At 35.5% G+C, this 22,908-nt stretch overlaps 1 protein-coding gene across 8 annotated transcripts in view; it reads right to left on the bottom strand.

Moving 5' to 3' along the window:
• LRFN5 (leucine rich repeat and fibronectin type III domain containing 5) overlaps window positions 1-22,908 on the bottom strand; it is a 297,674-nt gene that overhangs the window by 166,680 nt on the left and 108,086 nt on the right. For 2 of the 8 annotated variants that reach the window (XR_007063991.1, XM_047431029.1), the window contains exon 1: window positions 4,238-21,556. The exons of the other annotated variants lie outside the window; for them this stretch is intronic. The gene's annotated coding sequence lies outside the window, so the exon portion shown is untranslated. Of the gene's footprint in view, window positions 1-4,237; window positions 21,557-22,908 lie in introns of those variants that run through there. 8 annotated transcript variants of the gene reach the window in all.

The following is a 22,908-nucleotide window of genomic DNA, read 5'->3' as shown; positions in this document are numbered from 1 at the left end:
TTTTTTTCATTTGTTTGTGCCCTCTCTTATTTTACTGAGCAGTGGTTTGTAGTTCTCCTTGAAGAAGTCCTTCACATCCCTTGTAAGTTGGATTCCTAGGTACTTTATTCTCTTTGTAGCAATTGTGAATGGGAGTTCACTCATGATTTGGCTGTTTGTCTATTATTGGTGCATAGGAATGCTTGTGATTTTTGCACATTGATTTTGTATCCTGAGACTTTGCTGAAGTTGCTCATCAGCTTAAGGAGTTTTTGGGCTGAGATGATGGGGTTTTCTAAATATACAATCATGTCATCCACAAACAGAGATAATTTGATTTCCTCTCTCCTATTTGAATACCCTTTATTTCTTTCTCTTGCCCGACTGCCCTGCTCCGAACTTCCAATACTATGTTGAATAGGAGTGGAGAGAGACGGCATCCTTGTCTTGTGCCGGTTTTCAAAGGAAATGCTTCCAGCTTTTGCCCATTCATTATGATATTGGCTGTGAGTTTGTCATAAATAGCTCTTACTATTTTAAGATACGTTTCATCAGTACCTAGTTTATTGAGTGTATGTAGCATAAAGGGGTGTTAAATTTTATCAAAAACCTTTTCAGCATCTATTGAGATAATCATGTGTTTTTTGCCATTGGTTCTGTTTATGTAATGTATCACATTTATTGATTTGCATATATTGAACCAGCCTTGCATGCCAGGGATAAAGCCAACTTGATCGTGGTGGATAGGCTTTTTAATGTGCTGCTGGATTCAGTTTCCCAGTATTTTATTGAGGATTTTGGCATCAATATTCATCAGGGATACTGGCCTGAAATTTTCTTTCTTTGTTGTGTTTCTGCCAGGTTTTGGTATCAGGATGATGCTGGCCTCAGAAAATGAGTTAGAGAGGATTCCTTTTTTTTTCTATTGTTTGGAATAGTTTCAGAAGGAATGGTACCAGCTCCTCTTTGTACCTCTGGTAGAATTTGGCTGTGAATCTGTCTGGTCCTGGGCTTTTTTGGATTGGTAGGCTTTAATTACTGCCTTAATTTCAGAACCTGTTATTGGTCTATTCAGGGATTTGACTTCTTCCTGGTTTAATCTTGGAAGGGTGTATGTGTCCAGGAATTTATCCATTTCCTCTAGATTTTCTAGTTTATTTACATAGAGGTGTTTATAGTATTCTCTGATGGCAGTTTGTATTTCTGTGGGATCAATGGTGATGTCCCCTTTATCATTTTTTATTGTGTTATTTGATTCTTCTCTCTTTTCTTCTTTATTAGTCTGGCTAGCGGTCTATAAAGAGCTTCTGCACAACAAAAGAAACTATCACCGAAGTGAACAGGCAATGTGTAGAATAGGAGAAAATTTTTGCAATCTATCCATCTGACAAAGGGGTAATATCCAGAATCTACAAAGAACTTAAACAAATTTACAAGAAAAAAAATCAAAAAGTGGGCAAAGGATGTGAACAGACACTTCTCAAAAGAAGACATTAATGAGGTCAACAAACTTATTTTAAAAAGCTCATCATCACTGGTTATTAGAGAAATGCAAATCAAAACCACAATGAGATACCATCTCATGCCAGTTAGAATGGTGATCTTTAAAAAGTCAGGAAACAATGGATGCTGGAGAGGTTGTGGAGAAATAGTAACGCTATTACACTGTTGGTGGGAGTGTAAATTAGTTCAACCATTGTGGAAGACAGTGTGGCAATTCCTCAAGGATCTAGAACCAGAAATACCATTTGACCCAGTGATCCCATTGCTGGGTATATAACCAAAGGATTATAAATCATTCTACTATAAAGACACATGCACACATATGTTTATTGCAGCACTATTCACAATAGCAAAGACTTGGAACCAACCCAAATGCCCATCAATGATAGACTGGTTAAAGCAAATATGGCACATATACACCATGGAATACTATGCAGCCATAAAAAAGAATGAATTCATGTCCTTTTCAGAGACATGGATGAAGCTGGAAACCATCATTCTCAGCAAACTAACACAGGAACAGAAATCCAAACACCACATGTTCTCACTCATAAGTGGGAATTGAACAATGAGAACACATGGACACAGGGAGGGGAACATCACATGCTGGGGTCTGTCAGGGGGTGGGGGACAAGGCGAGGGATAGCATTAGGAGAAATACCTAATGTCAATGAAGGGTTGATAGATACAGCTTATCACCACGGCACTTGTATTCCTATATAACAAACCTGCATCTTCTGCATATGTATCCCAGAATTTAAAGTATAATAAATAATAAAAATTAGTAAAACTAATAAAATAAAAATAAAGGAGTGTGGCCAGGTGCATTGGCCTATACCTATAATCCCAGCACGTGGGGGGGCTGACGCAGAAGGACTGCTTGAGCCCAGGAGTTTATGACCAGCCTGAGCAACATAGGGAGACCCATCCTCTGCTAAAAGTAAAAGTAAAGATTAGCGGGGTATGGTTGTGCACACCTGTGGTCCCAGCTAGTCAGCAGGCTGAGGTAGGGAGATTGCTTGAGCCCAGGAGTTTGAGGCTTCAGTGAGCCATGATTGTGCCACTGCATTACTGCCTGGGTAACAGACTGAGACACTGTATCAAAAAATATATAAAATAAAAATAAAAATAAAGGTGAATGGATGGCAAAAACTTTTTCAGACAAAACCCAAAGGAATTTATTTGTATAAGAAATGTTAAAGTTTTTCATGCTAAAGGAAAACATTGCAATGTAGTGACATAAAAACATGTAAAAATATAAAATTCATTAGTAAAAATAAGTCGAGTAAAACTCAGAATATTTTTATGCTGTAATGATGTTGAGAAAATAAATCAAATATTTACGATGATGGTTTAAAGAAAGAACTATTAAAAACTATAGTTACAAAAATATGTTAAGTAACACAAACTATAAAAGATAAGCATGTGTCATCAAAAACACTTTTTTGGTTGTCAGGGGAAGTGGAGCTTTTTTTGTAAGTGATCAAAGTTAAGTTATTATTAGCTTAAAATAATCTGTCAATATATTTTATGTAAGCATTATTGTAACCACAAGCAAAACCCTTACTAGATACACAAAAGATAAATGAAATAATTCAAAGCATACCACTACAGAAATTCAACAAAATGCAGACAGCAAGAAAGGAAGAGATAACAAATGATCTACAAACTAACCAGAATGTAATGAACAAATGGCATAAGTTCTTACCCATCAGCAATTACTTTGAATGTAAATGAATTTAATTTCACAATTGAAAGACATAAAGAGGCTGAGTGGATTAAAAAAAAAGACAAGACTCCATTGTATACTGCTTATAAGAAGCTTACTTCACCTCTCTGCACACACAGAGACTGAAAACAATAGAATGGAAAAAAGGTATTCCATGCAAATGGAAACAAAAGAGAGCAGGGGTAGCTAGATAGCTATACTTATATAAGATAAAATAGACTTTAAGTTGAAAACTATACAAAAGAAAATGATGTCATTATGTCATTATAAAACAATAAAAGGTCAATTCATCAATAAGTTACAGCAAATTTAAATATATATATATATATATATATATATATAAAACCAGTCCAGGAAAGGTGGCTCACGCCTGTAATCCCAGTACTTTGGGAGGCTGAGGTGGCAGATCACCTGAGGTCAGGAGTTCAAGACCAGCCTGGCCAACATGGTGAAACCCCATCTCTACTAAAAATACAAAATTGGTGCGCACCTGTAATCCCGGCTACTCAGAAGGCTGAGGCGGGAGAATTGCTTGAACCCAGGAGGCAGAGGTTGCAGTGAGCCGAGATCATGCCATTGCACCCCAGCCTGGGCAATAAGAGTGAAACTCCATCACAAAAAAAAAAAAAGAAAAGAAAAGAAAAGAAAAAATATATATATACATATATAAACACAGCATCAGAGGACCTGAATATATAAAGCAAATATTAATAGAACTGAAGAAAGAGATCTGCAATACAATAACAACAGAATACTTCAATACCCTACTTGCAACACTGGGCAGTTTATGTAGATAAAAAATCAATAAGGAACCATTGTTCATAAATCAATAATTTTTTTATATATTAATATTTTAAATTGTGTAGAAAACAAAATTTAGAGTTACCAACCAGAGTTACAATGATATTAGCTTTTAGAGTAATTGCTTTTTAATGTATTCATGACTAAATCATGGAGAAATCAAAAAGTGGAGTTACAATTATTAAAAATAATATGACTTTTACAATTTCCCACATACTTACTTACCTTTACTGAGATCTTTATTTCTTCTTACTGATTGAGACCTACTGTTTGATGTCTTCTTATTTTGATCTGCAGAACTCTCCTTAACATTTATTTTAAGGCAGGTCTACTGGTAATAACTACTTCAGCTTTTCTTTATCTGGGATTCTTTTACTTTCTCTGTCACTTTTGAAGACAAGTTTTGTTAAATACAGGAGTCTTGGTTGATATTTTTTTTTTTAATTTTCTTTTAGCACTGAATGTATCAACCCACAGCTTTGTGGCCTCCAAAGTTACTTATTAGTATCGTTTGCATATGATAAGCAGGCTTCTCCCATGCTGCTTTCAAATTTATTTGTCTTTAAACAGTTTGATTATATAATGTATTTAGGTGTGGCTGTCTTTGAGTTCATCCCACGTGGAGTTCTCTGAGATTCTTAGCTGCTTATATTTATGTCTTTCATCAAATTTGGAAAGCCTTCAGCCATTATTTCTTCAAACATTCTCTCTGCTCCTTTCTAACTCTCTTCTTTAGGTCTACAAAATGTGTTGGTCTCCTTGATGACATACCAATGGTCCTTTTGTTCAATCTGTTTTTTTTTTTTAACTTTCTTTTCCTAAGACTATAATTTTTAATGCTCTATCTTCAAGTTTGCTGATTCTTGCTCCAGCCTGATGAAATCTTTCTATAAATCCCTCTAGTGAATTTTTTTCTTTTCTTTTCTGGTACTTTTTAGCTATAAGATATTTTTTGTTTCTCCTTAGGTTTTCTGTAAATTTATTGATTTTTCTACTTTGTTCACATATAATTGTGTTGACGTTTCAATGTGTTCCTTTAATTCTTTGAGTATTTTTAATACAGATTTTTTTTTTGTCTAGTAGATCTGCCATCAGAAATTCTGTTGGTTAATTTTTTTTCTTGAACTATCTCATCTTTTCTTGTTTCCTTGTATGTTTATACATTTTTCTGAAAACTATACATTTGAATCTAATTATATAATAACCCTAGAATATTAGATTATCCCTTTCCCACAGTGTTTGTTCTTGTTTTCATTTTTTGTTTATGTTTCGTTTTGATTGTTGTAGGCTGTCTCTGTTGCAGAGTTCGCCTGAAATGTAAACTTAAGGTATTTTCATGTCTTATTTAAGCCTGTAACTTCCCCTTGGCAAGTGTGGTTACTTCTTAATTTACCTAATATATGTATTTTTAAAAAATATTTTAGTTATCAATGTCTGGCTCCCAAAATGAGACAAAGGCAAAAATAAAAGTGGGAACAAGGCACCAGCCTCTTAAATCCCCTTGAAGTCACCTCAGCCAGAAGCAGAAGACTTACAACAATAGGGGTTGGTGAAACAATAACGGCCACTGCCTCGTCATAATCATCAAAATCAGCAATCAATAATCAGAACACAGATCCTGATATTTGAGAGTCATTTTTGCACATTCTGGCTTCCCCAAGCTGTATGCATGCTGCTCTAGGAACATGTACACAGCTGGCTGCCCTGGAACTGGGTGCAGGGGATGGGTAGCTGAAGTGGAAGATCAAAATTAACTACAATTTACTGTCCAATCCTTCTTTCAGAAGTTTCAAGACTTCAATAGGCTTCAGAGTTTCAGTACAGTTATATCAGACATATTCTGAAAGTAAATTTGTTGTCTGGATGAGAAGACAGATTTCTGGTGCTTCTCACTATGCCATCATTCCAGAATCACCTGCTAAAACATATACTTTAAAAAATGACTTCAACTCTCTAATTATACTTGCAAATCTTCAAGCAAACTTGCCTTTTGGATATGTGAGGCATCTGCACCACCAATTTGGAATATCCTAATTCCTCTTCTTTGCCTAGCTAACTCCTTATCATGTAAATTTAGCTCAAATATCTGAAGGAGATAAAGAAGGGAAAACATCAACAATGGATTACATGATCAAATTTATATTTTTTCAAATATTTTTCTGGCTGATGATGGCTAAAGTTGAAGCAGAGAAATCAGTTAGGGGATGATTTCCATAGTGCAGGCTATAGGTGACAATTTTAGGGTAGAATGGTGGAAGTAGCAAGAATGGAACTCCATACAGATCTATCTGATGCAAGACTGCATAATAACTATACTAGAAAGAGGGATATTTTAAAATTTGATTCTATCATTTATTAGCTTTATGATTATTAGAAAGTCATTTTACCTAAGCACCAATTATTTTATCTCACAGATTTTACATGAAAATTAAATAAGATAATATCAGTGAAGAGTTAGCACAAGACACTGAAGAACACAGAAGGTAGCCAAGAATGGGACTTACCTTTGAAAATATCAAATCTGGTTAAGTTTGTGACAAATTTAAAAAGAGAGAGAGAGAGAGCATTTCAGATACTGTATGTGAAAAAAAGATCCCGTAAATTCATATGATCTGAAAATATAAATAAAAACCCAAATGATTTAGATAATTTTAACCATGGACAAAAGGAAAATAGAGTGACGAAGACCTACAGTTGGTGTGTGATGAGACTTTGGTCCTAGACTCAATTATCTCACACTTTTTTATTGTTGTTGTCATTGTCCATAAGAAAAATTTATTATCATTGCATCATTAAACATCTTAGATATTAAGAGTCTTGAAATATATAACTACAAAATTTCCTTTTGTTTTTAAAAATGAACATCTAGATGCTAAAATCCCATTTTGTATAGACCACTCCATTGGGTACTACCCACCAAATGAGCAGATGAGAACCTTTCATTCAATTAACATATACAGGCATAAATTAAGACATTACCAATGATCGGAGAAAGGAAAGGCAACTTCAAATTCTCTATTTTTTTTTTAAACTCTCATCTTTTGTTAACAAAACCATACCATTTTGGTGGCTTTATTTTAATAAAATCATACAGATATATACATATATATTCTATTAGACATATGTATAATGGCAAATTAAAGGACTGAAAAGAACCAAGGCTCTAAAACAGAAAAATCATTACGTAAAATAGAGATGACTTGAACACTATATAGTCATTAAAAATGAAAATTATATAATATGTGTTAACGTACAAAACTGATATTATCTATGCCTTTTTTATAACTATTTCTAAACATCAAGTTCACACTCAAACTACATTTCCTGTGGAAATCCTTTCTGGACTCATAAGAATGGTTTGTAAATCACATTTTAGGCTCCCTGAAATATAAAACAATATGCATCTCCTTGCAAGTCCATTATATTCTAAATCTAGCAAAGTGCATTGCCACTAAAGTGTTCGAAATTTAGCAACATTGATAAAAGTAAGTTTGCATATTATCAAAGACTAGAAAGGAATAGAGACATGGTTGTTTTGTTCAATATTTACTGTAGGGGTGATAAATGATAAGGACCTTTATTTATTTTTAAATAATATAGTTTAGTAGTTCATATCATCTTTGTAATACAAGGTGAAAATTAGAAGACAGCCATTTAAAAGCAGTCTATTTTTGTCTATGGTTTTATTTGCATCTGTAATGAGATAATAAATAACTGATAATTTGCAATAAACATTTTCATCTTTATTTATGAACAGAAAAACAATTGCTATGTTAAAATACCAGAAACAGAATTTTGGCAAACATGTACAGATTATATACAGAACATTACTTCTAATGTTTTAGGTTGCAGTTTATATACGATTTGGTTTCAACAATTAAAATTTTTAATACTAATTCTTCCAGTAAACTATCTCTTTAAATAAATTATTCTTCACCTAATTGGCAACAAAGTGTTGCTTTCTTAAATTTTCCCCTAATAATCATGTATACTTTAAAATATTTAAAACTCCAAAACCATTGCTAAATATTTGAGTATTTTTTTAAAAAAATGAATATTATAGGTACAGAATGCATTAACTTGGACATATTTCTTTTAAAAGAGGGGTGCAAAAACAAAACTTCATTTTTTTAAAATCATGCCTTCCATAGAACTACTTAAGATATAAATGTGTACAAGAATTAAGATATCAAAATATATGCAAGAATTATTTTTAAAAGGTTTGAAATTACAAAAGCATTGTCACTCAAAATAATGTATTCTTTCCTGTATAGAATAGGAAACGATTGTTTATGAAAATGAGGATAGGTAATACTATAATGTTGTATTACTCTGTTTGTGTTACTATAAAGGAATACCTGAGACTGGTAAATTTATAAAGAAATTTATAATTTATAAAGAAAGGAGGTTTAATTGGCTCATGGTTCTACAGGGAGTATGGGTAGTGTGGTGCTGGCATCTGCTTCTATTGCAGGCTTCTGGAAGCTTATAGTCATGATGGAAGGTGAAGTGGGGAGGAGGGATGTCATATGGCAAGAATGGGAGCAAGAGAGAGAAATAAGGGAGGTGCTACACTCTTTTAAATAACCAACTTTTGTGTGAACAAACTGGGCAATAACTTATCCATCACCAAAGCAATGGTGCTAAGCCATTCACAAGGGATCTGACCCCCTAAACCAACCACCTCCCACAAAGCTCCACCTCCAACACTGGGAATCACATTTCGACATGAGATTTGGAGAGGACAAATGTTCAAACCACATCAGATGGTGTGACTGAATGATTGATTAACTGCAAAAACTGAGCTCATTGTTGGAAACCTTGGTTCTGGGTTTCAAAACACAATTCAGATTTATTTTTAAAAGATGCCATCTGTGAATAAATAGTTCATGTAGTGAGCTGAAGGGACGTTTTTAAATAAAAATGGATGAATCTTTAAAATTGTTGGTTAGTGAATTCATTTCTAAAAGGACTCACAAAAAACAACATGCTTGATCAATTTTTGATGGAGCCATTAAAATTAAAGATGCCATTTTTGTCAAAGTGATAAAAATGTCTCTCATCTAAAATGCTCAGACACTCAACTGAGTTAAGAACATTAGAACCAAGAGACTCATAAAATGTTTTGGCTTCAATATAGAAGGCAGCTATAAAATTTGGAATCTTTCCCATTCTTATGTGGTAGCCTTGATGAATTCTCTTAATGATAAAGAATTAGGAGAGAAAGTTAGATGAATTGAATAGATTCTAATCTTAATTACAAAAGAAATCTGAGAGTTAAAGGATTTACAAACATTTACAAAGATTATGCAGTATCTTTCACTCTTGTTTTATTAAAAGACAGATAGGAGATGGTTTCAATTTGCTTTATTTTTCATACTTGAAAGACTTCCATCATTTTTGAAATGGAAAGACAAAGATGTGTGTGTTTTCTTTTTCCTTGAGAGTCTTTGGACTCATTAAGATGATCTATCTATAGGAGGCTCAGACACGTAAACTTTTTTGCTGAGCAATTATATCTAGTCTTTTCTTCTCTGGATTATAGATTTTTTAAGTTGTTAGTCTGTAACTCTCAAAGAGATAGTTACAGCCTACCTTATTTGTGTTTTCTTCAAACAGAAGCAACACCAACTAAATTTGTTTGCGTGTGCTTTTAGTGATTGCTGACCTGGCCAAGTTTATCCAATAAATATGACTAATGGAAGATTGCTCAAAGTGAAATACAGCCCTTTAGATTTTGGAAACCACCCCCAACAGGAGTGATATTGCCAAAATCATTACCAGAATTTTCCCACTGAATGAGCAGAAACCTGAAAATAAGCATGGGTGTATGTTAATGCAGTGTCATGAAAACAAAACAGACAAAACTGCAACTGACCTCTCTGGAGAATTTACACTCAAGGGTGAGAAGGCATTTGCATTTCAGATTATTTAGCAATTTAGTAATCCTCTACCACCCCACCTTCATGTACTACTCAATACTCACCTAACTTTCATAGTTGGAATATTTTATAAATGCAGAAAATAAAAGTATTTTGGCTCAAAGTCACATATACAGCCAAAGGTACTGCCAGAACTAAGATCCATACATTTCAGACTCCAGTTCAAATGTTTTGTTGAAATTGTTTCTATTTATTTGTTTTTATTATTACTCTTATTATTTTGTATTATACATGCTGCTTGATGATGTTGACTATTTATTTTATTTTAAAAATATATTTATTTTATTTTAGAGACAGGGTCTCACTCTTTCGTCTATGTTGGAGTGAAGTGGCAGAATCACACCTGACTACAGCCTCAAACTCTTAGGCTCAAGCAATCCTCCCTGCTCAGCCTTCTGAGTAGCTAGAACTACACAAGTGTGCCACCATGACTGGCTAATTTTTTTTCTTTCCTATTTATTTATTTATTTATTTATAGAGATCGGATTTTTGCTTTGCTGCCCAGGCTGGTCTCAAACTCCTGGGCTCAAGTAAGCCTCCTGCCTCTGCCTGCTAAAGTGCTAAGATTACAACTTGGAGCCATGAGGCCTGGCTGACTGGCTGTTTTACCTCCATTGCTGATTTGATGTTTATAAAGCACTGGTTTTAATACTAACTGTCGTTTAAGATAGTTACCAGTAAATAGTTCACTGTTTTAACATACAAATGACTTTTAAATTAGTTTCCAACATTAAGATTATATTCTTCCACACATATGTGAAGTCATTACCCTCAAATAAATGATTAGTAAAAAGTCTTGTCACTGTAAAAGGTCAATGGTGATTCCATCTTCAAATGGAAGTGTCTCACCTATGTATAAGCACTGACTAAATTGCATAGTGCACAAGTTTCATAAAACACCAAGATGTTATGACCTCGTTTTGCAACAAAATTCATATTAAGGGTAAGAAACAAAAAATAACTGGTAAAGAAACTGAAAGTAAATAATTTTACATAAAATGTTAATATATACATACAATTACAGCCTTTTGTCTACACTCTTACTATAGTCCTATATTGCTCTGGCGAGCATTATGTTGATTTAGTGTTTTTACTAAATATCTATCAATGATCTATTAAAATATTACCCATTTTAGTCGTTTTAGTAAATATGTATGTTTACACAGTTCAGCAGTTTAACTATAATGAATAATGTGCTTTATACTTTTGAACCACCTGTAACAGAGAAAACTGTTTCAGAGTGATAGATTTCTGTGATGGCCATTAAAAAGTCAAAAAAAATAGAAAAAAATATATGAACCATTATTTTGTTCATGGAGTAGGTATGACTAAGTAGAACAGACTACTGTTCATATGGGTTTTCAGAGGCACATTGGTCTTCAGTTTCAGCATCATAATGCCCCTATGAAAATTCAGGCATTATAAACATTATTTTAGTTTAGTTATTATTTGTAGAATATCCTGGAAGGATGCATGGGTGTTACTTCCTCTGATGCAGTTTAGCAAGAGTTATCTTTCATACAGTATATTTGTTATTTAACAAAGATTAAGTTCCACCAAATTATAACTTAGGAAAGTTTTAATTGACACAAATTGGAAAGGAAAAATGAACGCAGTTTATAGGAAAGGCAAGCAATGATGAAAGTTCCCTGGATCCCTCTGAACAACAAGGTTTACCAGATAGCAAAATTAGAGCGTAGATAATGAAAAAATAATAATTGAAGGAACAAAGACTATGTATCATACTTTTGAGCTCCAAATAGGAACAGTTCTATGGCCAATTGTAAGCCAAGCTACTTAAGTAACATGATCCCCTTTTTATCCAATTAATGTGTTGTGATCATCAATCGTACTTGATACTCTATGCTTAGGTTTCTGAGAGCAATCGTGTTTAAAAACTAGGAAAAATCTACCAAATAAATAACTGATGAGAAATTTAAACCAAATGAATCATAATTTCCTGTTTAGGAGATAAGAGGTAAACACTTTGAACAGTAACATTTTCTAACATGTTTTTTACCTTAGTATAAGAGAAAGCAAATAAATATAAAATTGGAGAGTTAAAAGTAAATACTGGTTACTCCAGAAAAGAGCATGTCTTCTGCATTCAGGAATCTATATATATTATGAAACAGACATACAGAGCCTGGAAGATCTTAAAAGACTTCATGAAGTAAAGCAATCTGGTTCAGTGGAGACTTAGAAATATTATTTGATCAGAAGCACTCTGTAATAATTACACATATGTGGCAATTTACAGTAATTCTGGCAAATATTTACCAACTCCTAACAAACAGATTTGGTTGAGGGTACAAGATGTATACATTAAAGAAATGTTCTGGCCCCAAAAATATGGTACAACAACTATGGAATTAAGAATGACTTCTGGCTTATAGTTTTCAGAGAGATGACTAGTTTTCATCTGTCAGGCAGTGGACAATAGCCAGTAAGGGTTAGAAGAGACAAGAAGATATCTCTCTAGTCCTGACCTAACTACCACATGATATACAGAAATAAAACTTGTGAATCAAGATGCAGTGAAATGTCAACTATCTCCAAACAGCAGATGAAGCCATGCAAGCAAATGTGAAGCAGAAAACACAAGAGTTAAAGCAAGGATTCCAAAGTCAGCTAGCCCCACGTTCTTATCCTGAGTCCTCCTCTTAATAGCAATGTCACCTAAGGATGATAGCAACATTTTTAAGCCTCAAGTTCGCCACATCTAAAATGTGAATCCTAACTCTAAGCACCTTGTTAAAGTAGTAATAAAGCATAAATGAGAGAATTAATGTAAGGCGATGGGCCAATAACTCAATTTCTAGTACTAGGCTCCTATTTACTAAGAAACAAGAAAGGGAAAATACATAGCCCCAAGGCAAAATATCCTAGTGGTTTTTCACTTCAACAGGGCCAATAAATGTAACAATTCAGCTCTGTTAAAAAAAAGGATAATCTGACAAAATGGACAAAAAATAAGGGAATATAGTCCTTCAAAATCTACAAGGCTTTTGAAAGGTAGTAACCGATTACCAAAGTTTGAAATAGAAAGTTCAAACAGTAGGAAAAATAAATGAGACTTTTATTATGGCTGTGGGACAAAGATGAATGAAGAACTGACATGATTCTCATAAGGGCGGGTTGAGGTATAAAGATGTAAACATTTAAAGATTAAAATTAATAATTATCACATACAATAATTTTCCAGGTTATTACATTCTATATTATATATTAGTCATAACACATTCTTGAAAATATTTATACTTATTATATTACACAAAGATAAAAATATCTACACTGGCCATTTTGCTACTTAAAACAACCATAACTTAATATGGCCTTGTAGTTTTAATTAATATAAATTCATTCATATGAGCTTATGAACAGTTTTTAGATCTCAAATGCAAATTATTTCAGTCTTCAGTGCAGCATTTTAGAATATATTTTAGCTAAAGGTATTAGCTAGTTGGTAATGACATATAAATATCCTAATGTGTTTCAAAGGTTTTTAGTTTGTAAATTTGTTGTCTGAAAAAAACCTTATGCTCTAAATGTAAATGGTTCTTTCAGTCACGCTAACTGTGAAAATTAGGGGTGCTTTCTAATGTTTCAAAGTCATTTTAGTTTTTTTTCCCAAGATGGAATACCAGGGGATTTTAGCATGCCACTTGAAAACAGCAAGATAGTGCATACAGATCAACTCTGTCAGTTGTATTTTGAGAAAGAAAATTGGAAGCATGAAGGACACTCCAGATCTCAAGAAGGAGAAGAGATGGGTAGACAGACCCCATGACAGCATTTGGCTGATAAAAGTGAGTGTAGCCCCAGTACGTGAGAGAGGCACAGAACCTCCTTTTGTGACTCATCTTTTCACATGGAATTCGAGGCCAAGGGAGAACATTTTGTTTCTCTCCAGACCTGGAGCTAACTTGGAGATAGGCTTACAGACAGTGAGAGGGAAAGATACCATGAAAAGTGTCAGGTGTTTAACCCAGACCCAGGACCAAGAACAGGACATAATTTTTAATCCAGGTGTATACAAAGTCAGTCATTCTTTGGTGACATGGCATTATGATGGCACAGGCATTTTAGTTTCAGGCCAGAGACTAGAGTTCTTACTCTGGAGTAGGGTAGGGGCCTTCACACTCAGAACTGTGAAAAGTGGCTCAGTAGTAGGTGCTAGAATTGTGCTCTCCATGGTCACAGGCCTGGGACAGGAGAAGAGCTGCTGCAGCTCTGGTTTCTCCTGGGCAACGAGATTTGCAGCAAGAGTCAGCTTGGGGACCTGGAACCAGTCTGTGTGTGTCATTGCTGGATGCCCTAGCCTGCTCCCCAGAGATCCTGGTGCAGCAGGGTGCCCTCTGCTCCACTCCTGGGAAGATCACCAGGCATTTGGGACATCCGCTAACATGAACTAGCAGCCTGAGCTGTCCCATCCTTCCTGTGCAGAAATCTTGGTGCAAGAAGGCCCTGTCTTCCTCATACTTGGTCAGAGCTCCAGGCATTCTGAGAACCTGCTTGCCTGGTTCAGTAGCCCAAGCCACACCACCCTTTCTGTGTAGAGATCCTGGTACAGGGAGGCCCTCTCCACTTTACACCAAAGTAGACTTCCAGGCATTCTAAGCACCTGCTTGCCTTGCTCAGCAGCCTGAGCCACACCACCCTTTCTGTGCAGAGATCCTGGTACAGGGAGGCCCTCTCCAATTCACATCCACGCAGATTTCCAGGCATTAGGAGTATCCGCTTGCCTGGTTCAGCAGCCTGAGGCACCCCACCATTCTTGTGGAGCGATCGTGCTGCACTGGGGTCTTCTACACCTCACACCCATGCAAATTTCCAGCTATCTGGAGCACTCACTCTCCTGGATTAGGAGTTGAGGCTACCCCACCTACTATGCAGAGAGCTTGGGGCCAAGGAGGTTTCCCAGCTTCAAGCCTAGGCACACTTCTGGGTGCTTGGTGGCTACCCATTTGATTCTCCCTTGGCACTGGTGCTTGCGCCTGCCAGCAGGGAAACTGTAGGTGGACCTGCCCAACCTGGCCCCACCCATCTTGTCCCCCACCTTAGGAGCACAGAACATTGTGTATTCCATGAATCAGCCCATTGTCTGAGGGAACAGAGAGCTCCCAGTAAACAAGAATTAAGTATATATGCAGCCACACTGGCCACATCTGGCACTTACCCATAAGAATCATTTACTGACTTGTAGGATGAACTGCACAGCCCAATATAAAATCTGCTGAAATGCATAGGGCTATAGAGGCAAAGCAAAAAGACTCTTCCCAACATTCTTTACAATCACACCCCGGAGTGGGGACAAAGGGAAAAGGGAAAGAGAAAGAAAAAAAAAAAACACCGTATTTTATTATAGGGAGAGAAAGAAAAAGAAAAAAAATTATTCACATATGAAAATGATTATAAAAATTAGAAGTTCTAGTGTCTCCACATAAGAAATCAGAACAAGAATTCTGGAACCATGAAAAATCTGAATGCAGTGAAACAACCAATGGATCACACTAGCTCTCCGGTAACGGTCACTAACCAAAATGGAAACTCAGAAATGACAGATAAAGAATTCAAAAGCATGGATTGCAAAGAAACTCAAAGAGACCCAAGACAAGGTTGAAAATCAACATGGAGAAACTTCTATATCAATCCAGGAAATGAAGGAAGACATAAACATTTTAAAAAGATATCAATCAGAATTTCTGAAATTGAAAAACTTAAGGAATTTCAAAATATAATTGAAACACTTATTACTAGACTGGATCAAATAGAAAAAAAGAATTTCAGAGCTTGGAGCTGGTCCTTCAAACTAGCCAAATTAGACAAAAATTAAGAAAAAATAATTTAAAAAAATGAACAAAGTCTTCAAAAAATATAGAATTATGTAAAGCAACCAAACCTACAAATTATCGGCATTTTTGGAATCAACAAAAAAAGTAAACAACTTGGAAAACATATTTGAGGGATTAATTCAAGAAAATTTCCCTAATCTTGCTAAAGAGGTAAACATCCAGATACAGGAAACCCAGAGAAGAACTGTGAGATACTGTACAAAATATACATCACCAAGACACATAGTCCCCAGACTGTCCATGGCTAACCCTGAAGAAAAAATCTAAAAGGTAGCTTGAGAAAAAGACTAGATTACATACAAAGGGAATCCCATCAGGCTAACGGGAGACTTTTCTGCATAAATCTTATAAGCCAGAAGAGACTGGAAGCCTTTTTTCAGCATTCTTAAAGAAAAGAAATTAAAACCCAGAATATCATATACCACCATTTAAGCTTCATAACAAAGGAGATACATTTTTTTTCTAGTCAAGCAAGCACTAAGGAAATTCATTATCACTATATCAGCCTTAAAGAAGATTCTTAAGGGAGTTCTAAACATGGAAATGAAAGCATGATACCTGCTACCACAAAAACACACTTAAGTACATAGTCCACAGAGCCTATAAGGCAACGACACAATAGAAACTACAAAGCAACAAGCTAGCAACTTCACAACAAGATTAAACCTCACATATCAATATTAACCTTGAATGTGAATGATCTAAATGCCCCATTTAACAGGCACAGAATTGCAAGTCGGATTAAAAAGCAAGATTCATCCATCTGCTGTCTTTAAGAAACCCATCTCACACACAATGACAACCATAGGTTCAAAGTAAAGGGTTGGAGAAAGATCTGTCACTCAAATGGAAAAAAAAGGAGTTGCTATTCTTAGATCAGATAAAATAAACTTTAAACAATGATTTAATAAAGCCAAAGAAGAACATTACATAATGACAAACAGTTGAAATCAACAAGAGTACTTAACTATTCTAAATATATATGCACCCACCACTGGAGCACCCAGGTTAATAAAACAACTACTTCTAGACCTATGAAAAGACTTACAGAGCCACAGAATGATAGTAGGAGAATTCAACACCCTACTGACAACATTAGATAGACCATTGATGCTGAAAACTAACAAAGGAATTCTGGACTTGAATACAACACTGACCAATTGTATCTAACAGACATCTATAGGACACTCCACTTATCAACAAGAGAATATACATCCTTCTCATCTACACACAAAACATTCTCCAAGATCAACATTATGTTTGGCCATAAAGCAAGTCTCAATAAATTTAAAAAAAATCAAAATGACACCAACCACATTATCAGACCATAGTGGAATAAAAATATATATCAATATAAAATAGTTTCCCCAAACCACACAAGCACATGGAAATTAAACAACTTGCTCCTGAATAACTTCTGAGTAAACAATGAAATTAAGGCAGAAAACAAATATTTATTTGAAATATATGTAAACAGAGACACAACAAACCAAAATATAGGAGATACAGTGAAAGCAGTGTTAAGAGGAAAGTTTATAACCCTAAACACCTATATCAAAAAGTTAGGAAGATCTCAAATTAATTTTCTAACCTAGCAATCGCATTACTGGGTATATATCCAAAGGGAAATACATCATTCTGCTGAAAAGACACATTTACTCTTATGTTCATTGCTGTTCTACTAACAATAGCAAAGACATGGAATCAACCTAGGTGCTCATCAACAGTGGATTGGATAAAGAAAATGTGGTACATATACATCATGGAATACTATGCAGCCATAAATATGAAATCATGTCTTTTGTGGCAACATGAATGGAGCTAGATACCATTATCCTAAGTAAATTACATGTTCTACTTGCAATTGGGAGCTAAACATTAGGTACTCATGGATATTAAGTTGGCAATAATAGACACGGGGGACTACTAGAATGAAAGGGATGGATGAGGGAAAAACTAATGATTGAGTACAATACTCACTAGCTGCTTGACAGGATCATTCATATCCCAAACCTCAGCAACACACGATATACTCATATGACAAACCTGCACATGTACCCCTTGAATCTAAAATGAAAGTTAAAATTATTAAGTAAATCAGTACATACAGAGAAAAATATCTATACCTCTCTATATGGAGAGATAGTTCAGATATACATATATGAGGAAAGTTTATAGCTCTAAACACCTACATCAAAAAGTTAGAAAGGTCTCAAAGTAATTAATTTTCTAACATAGCAATCGCATAACTGGGTATATATCCAAAGGGAAATATATATATATATGGAGAGTGAGTTCAGATATATATATATATACACACACACATACATATATATACACACACATCTCAAAATCTATCAAAATTTTGAAGTATATATCAAAATCTTAAAAGATGGAAAGAGTAAAATGATTTGAGAAATATTTATCTATGTCAGAAACAAGAAAGTGATTAGACAGAATGCAGTGAAGTTGCATTAGAGGTAATCTGAAGCTTATGAGATTACTAAGTGTGTTAAGTGTTGGCATAGTAAAAACAGTAGTAAGAAATAAAGGTTGCTATGTGGGTGACTTGCAATAATAACTATTACAATAGGATAATTTCAACAACAATTTCTTAAAATATACATATGTATAACATATATTAAAATACCACACAATATGAATATAAAAGGATGCAGTAGTCATCATTTTTATATTTAAAATATATCACATATCTAAAATGTTATCAGTCTAAAAATAATAAACCACTTACTTAAAATCTACTACTCTTGCTAAAATGGAAAGCCTAAATGGAACAAATAGACATCATATTTCATAAATAGACATATAAGCCCCTTTTCAATGATTTGAGTACCCACAGCCAGGATGAGAGTAAAATAATGAACACATTCCTTTATATGAGGTCTCTTTTCGTGTTTTGCATGATAATTAAAGACAAAGATTCTAATGACTGACAATTCTGGGATTCCAGAGAAAGGACAGTTCACAAAAGTGATGAATTACCCCAGATTTTTCTTTTCTGGTACTCTGTAATCCAGAGTGTTCAGCTTCCTCTTAATGCTGCCTCCTTCTGTGGTTGTTCAATGGCTTCCTGTCTTACAGTCACAAGAGGAAGCTAGCATTGGCTTCCTCATTCCTATTTGCTGCAAGAGAGGTGGCAAATGCCTCTTTCTAACTATGAAAAATAAACTTCCATCCCTGTTAATGCCCCATACATAGGTACCTATAAAGCAGTACCTATCACCAGTTTAATGTCAATCACTAAAGTGTTTAAAGCTGAGTTTCTGAGCCAATGGCTAATAAGGCAGGTGAGATTTAGCTTAGATTTAGCGTAGATGAATCAGGGCTGAGATGTGGAGTTTTGGCCAATTGCCTAAATAAACAGGCAGTCAGGAAGACGTGAGATGTATTTGAGGGAACTGACTATGCTGTCTACCTCATCTAACACGGAGAGCTTTCCCATATGCAGGTGGCATGAGAAACGAATTCAAAATATGTAAATTCTAAAAGTGAAGAATCTTATCTTTAAAAACATGAACAATAGGTAAGTACATGTAAAATATAGGCTTAAAATGGTTATAATAACTAGAATTTCTGCCTGTTAGTAGCTAAAGAGATATTTCTCTGCCCTTTTTAATCCATGTCAAACAAATCAAAGAACAGGTACTTAATATGACACTTAATGGTATAGTTGGCTAATTTCAATAAGCTCAGTTATCACTTGTACTGGTGATATTTTAAATTGCAAGACGGAGAAGTGCATATTCTACAATTACATTCAACAATCATATTATTGTGAATCTATTTGTCAGGCATTACAAATAGATATGATATTTCCTTTTGACAGATGAGGAACCTAAGGCTTAGAGATGTCAAGTAACTTCTCCAAGGTCACTTAGTTAATAAGAGAAGATGCCAAGACCATAGCCAATTATTTTAATAGAGTCCAGTTATTTTTCCACTACATGCATTACAATGTAGCTACATTTTATCTATGTAAAACAAGATGCTAGGACACTTTCTGTCTTGGTTTTGGAGACAAAAAGTCTCCATAGGTTCTTAGCTTCACCTAAGCTAAGAACAACACAAAAAATGAGAAGCATACTTATATTCCATAGTGAAGAGCCAGCCCATGGGTGTAGGATTTATAATATACATGGTCTAAAACCTGTCTAGTAACTTTTGGCCTACCACCCTTTTCTAAAATAAATAAGAGGTTTGAGACTGAAGACACCAGGAAAAAGACTTCCCTTTTTGGGGAAATTTGTAGGACTGCTGAGATTGAGAGAATTTACCTTTAGCAATGTTCACTAGAGTTATACAGTATGTAAAATGTCAGCCTCAGGATTTAACACAGTGTAGACACTCAATGATAAAAACTAGTGTAACCCTTAATATGGGTCTGACCATAAGTTACAGAATACCCAACTTTAGCTGGTTTAAAACAATAAGAGAAACTATTGGTCAACAACAGTGGAAGCTGTGGTGAGAATGGGCTTCAGCAAAGATCAGAGAGACTCAGGAATTTCATCATGGATCCAAGTTTCGTAACCCTCCTCAAGTGCACAGGGTCAATTTTACTCTAAGGCTGGTGCTTCACCATGTAGGTGGCAATTTAAAACTACGTGTTTTGGTGTTTACATCTAGCAAGACATAGAAAAAATTAGCTTTCATAGCTTTCATTTAAACACAGAAATATTCTTTCCTCAATATGTTCAGTAAGTCTATCTTCAATATGCATTGATCCATCCAAGCCTACTCTAAGCCATTCCTGCAAGACTGAAAGATCAAACATGTTTTGCCTAAGACAATTAAATGGGATGTAATAGAGGTTGAGTGTGGAGTTGGGAGGGCAACCACGACGTCCATAACTTCTGGGTAGAATCTTCACCATTTACATTCTTTTTTATTTATAAACATGGACAACTTAAAATGCTAACCTATAAGCTTAGATTCGTTAAAAGAAATTTTAAAATGACCATTGCTATCATGAGCCTGTGTGGTTTTTATAGCAGTAAAGGAGGACACGATTTAGAAAATACATTGGTTTGACGAAAAACAAAGGTTGAAAGACTCTATTAGAAAATAGAGCATAGAAAAGTAAATCCATCAGAACAAGGATTCCATGGTGGGCTCTGACTTGAAGGAGAGAAGACAGAAAGAAAATCAAACAAAACCAGAGTGCTATGGTTTGAATATCCCCTTCAAAATGCATGGTGAAATTTATTTGCTAATTTAACAGTGTATTAGCACCAGTAGAGTGGGGTGCTGCTGAAAAGATACCTGAACATGTGGAAGCAACTTTGGAACTGGGTAACAGACAGAGGTTGGAGCATTTTGGATGGCTCAGAAGACAGGAAAATGTGGAAAAGTTTCGCACTTCCTAGAGACTTGTTGAATGGCTTTGCCCAAAATGCTGATAGGGATATGGACAGTAAAGTCCAGGCTGAGGTGGTCTCAGATGGAGATGAGGATCTTGTTGGGAACTGGAATAAGGGTGACTCTTGCTATGTTTTAGCAAAGAGACTGGCAGCATTTTGCCCCTGCCCTAGAGGTCTGTGAATTTTGAACTTGATAGAGATTATTTAGGGTATCTGGCAGAAGAAATTTCTAAGCAGCAAAGCACTGAAGAGGTGACTTGTGTGCTGTTAAAGGCAGTCAGTTTTACAGGGGAAGCAGAACATAAAAGTTCTGAAAATTTGCAGCCTGACAATGCAATAAAAAAGAAAATATCATTTTCTGAGGAGAAATCCAAGCTGGCCGCAGAAATTTGTATAAGTAACAAGGAGCCCAATGTTAATCCCCAAGACAATGGAAAAAACGTCTCCAGGGCATGCCAGAGGTCTTCATGGCAGTCCCTCCTATCACAGGCCCAAAGGCTGAGGAGGAAAAAGTGGTCTTGGGGGCCAGTCCCAGGGTCCCCGTGCTGTGTGCAGCCTAGAGACTTGGTGTCCTGTGTACCAGCTGCTCCAGTTGTGGTAGAGCTTAGACCGTGGCTTCATAGGGTGCAAGCCTCAAGCCTTGGCAGCTTCCACGTGGTGTTGAGCCTGCCAGTGCAGAGAAGTCAAGAACTGGAGTTTGGGAACCTCCACCTAGATTTCAGAAGATGTATGGAAACGCCTGAATGCCCAGGGAGAAGTTTGCTGCAGGGGCAGGGCCCTCATGGAGAACCTCTGCTTGGGCAGTGTGGAAGGGAAATGTGGGGTCAGAGCCCCCACACAGAGTCCCTACTGGAGTACCACCTAGTGGAGCTATGAGAAGAGGGCCACTGTCTTCCAGACCCCAGAATGATAGATCCAACGACAGCTTGCACAATGCACTTGAAAAAGCCACAGACACTCAATGTCAGCCTGTGGAAGCAGCCAGGAGGGAGACTGTACCCTGCAAAGCAACGGGGGCATGCTCTTGTACTTCCCAACCTCCAGAAATGTGAGCTGAATAAACTTATTTTCCTTATAAATTTCCCAGTCTGTGGTATTCTGTTATAGCAGCAGAAAAGGAACAAAGGCACAGAGAAAGCAAACTCCTTTGCTTCTGAAAAAAGTGTCCATCTGAAAATTAAAGTTAAGGTGAGATACCACATAAGGTATTTTTGTTAAAGGAAGAGGTTTAAAAAGAACAGAGAGGCAGAGTTGGAATTCTGACCTTTCATATGGAACCATAGAATGTTCTACATTGTTAACCTAATTGAAACCTCTTCAAAATGTTAAACATTCCACATTATTGGATCAAATGATAGAATTTCTGGTGACTCAATACAAAGGAAGGATATAAGATCAAAAATAAAATAATGCCAAAGAAGTGGTCTTAAAGAATCCCTCTTTGATTTTTAAATAAGTCATTTCAAAATGGTAATGCAGTCTCACGCATTAGAGATAGCACAAGATTTTGAAGATGTTTTCTCTCCAATTTGTTTCAATTTTCTCTCTATGTTCATATACCTTAATATACAAATTCCTTTAATTCATGGATATGTTACTCTTGGATATAAGGATCTTGGAAATCTGCCTGCCTCTGCATACCTTCCACCACCACCATTTTATAAAACCCTTTAACATTCTATGTTTTTTTCAAAGTTTGAGGACTATGTTGCCCAGAA

This window comes from Homo sapiens, chromosome 14, assembly GCF_000001405.40.
Source record: "Homo sapiens chromosome 14, GRCh38.p14 Primary Assembly".
In the NCBI taxonomy this organism is placed as follows: domain Eukaryota; kingdom Metazoa; phylum Chordata; class Mammalia; order Primates; family Hominidae; genus Homo; species Homo sapiens.
Note: the sequence above shows the minus strand (reverse complement) of the source record. Positions and strands in the feature narration are given on the sequence as shown.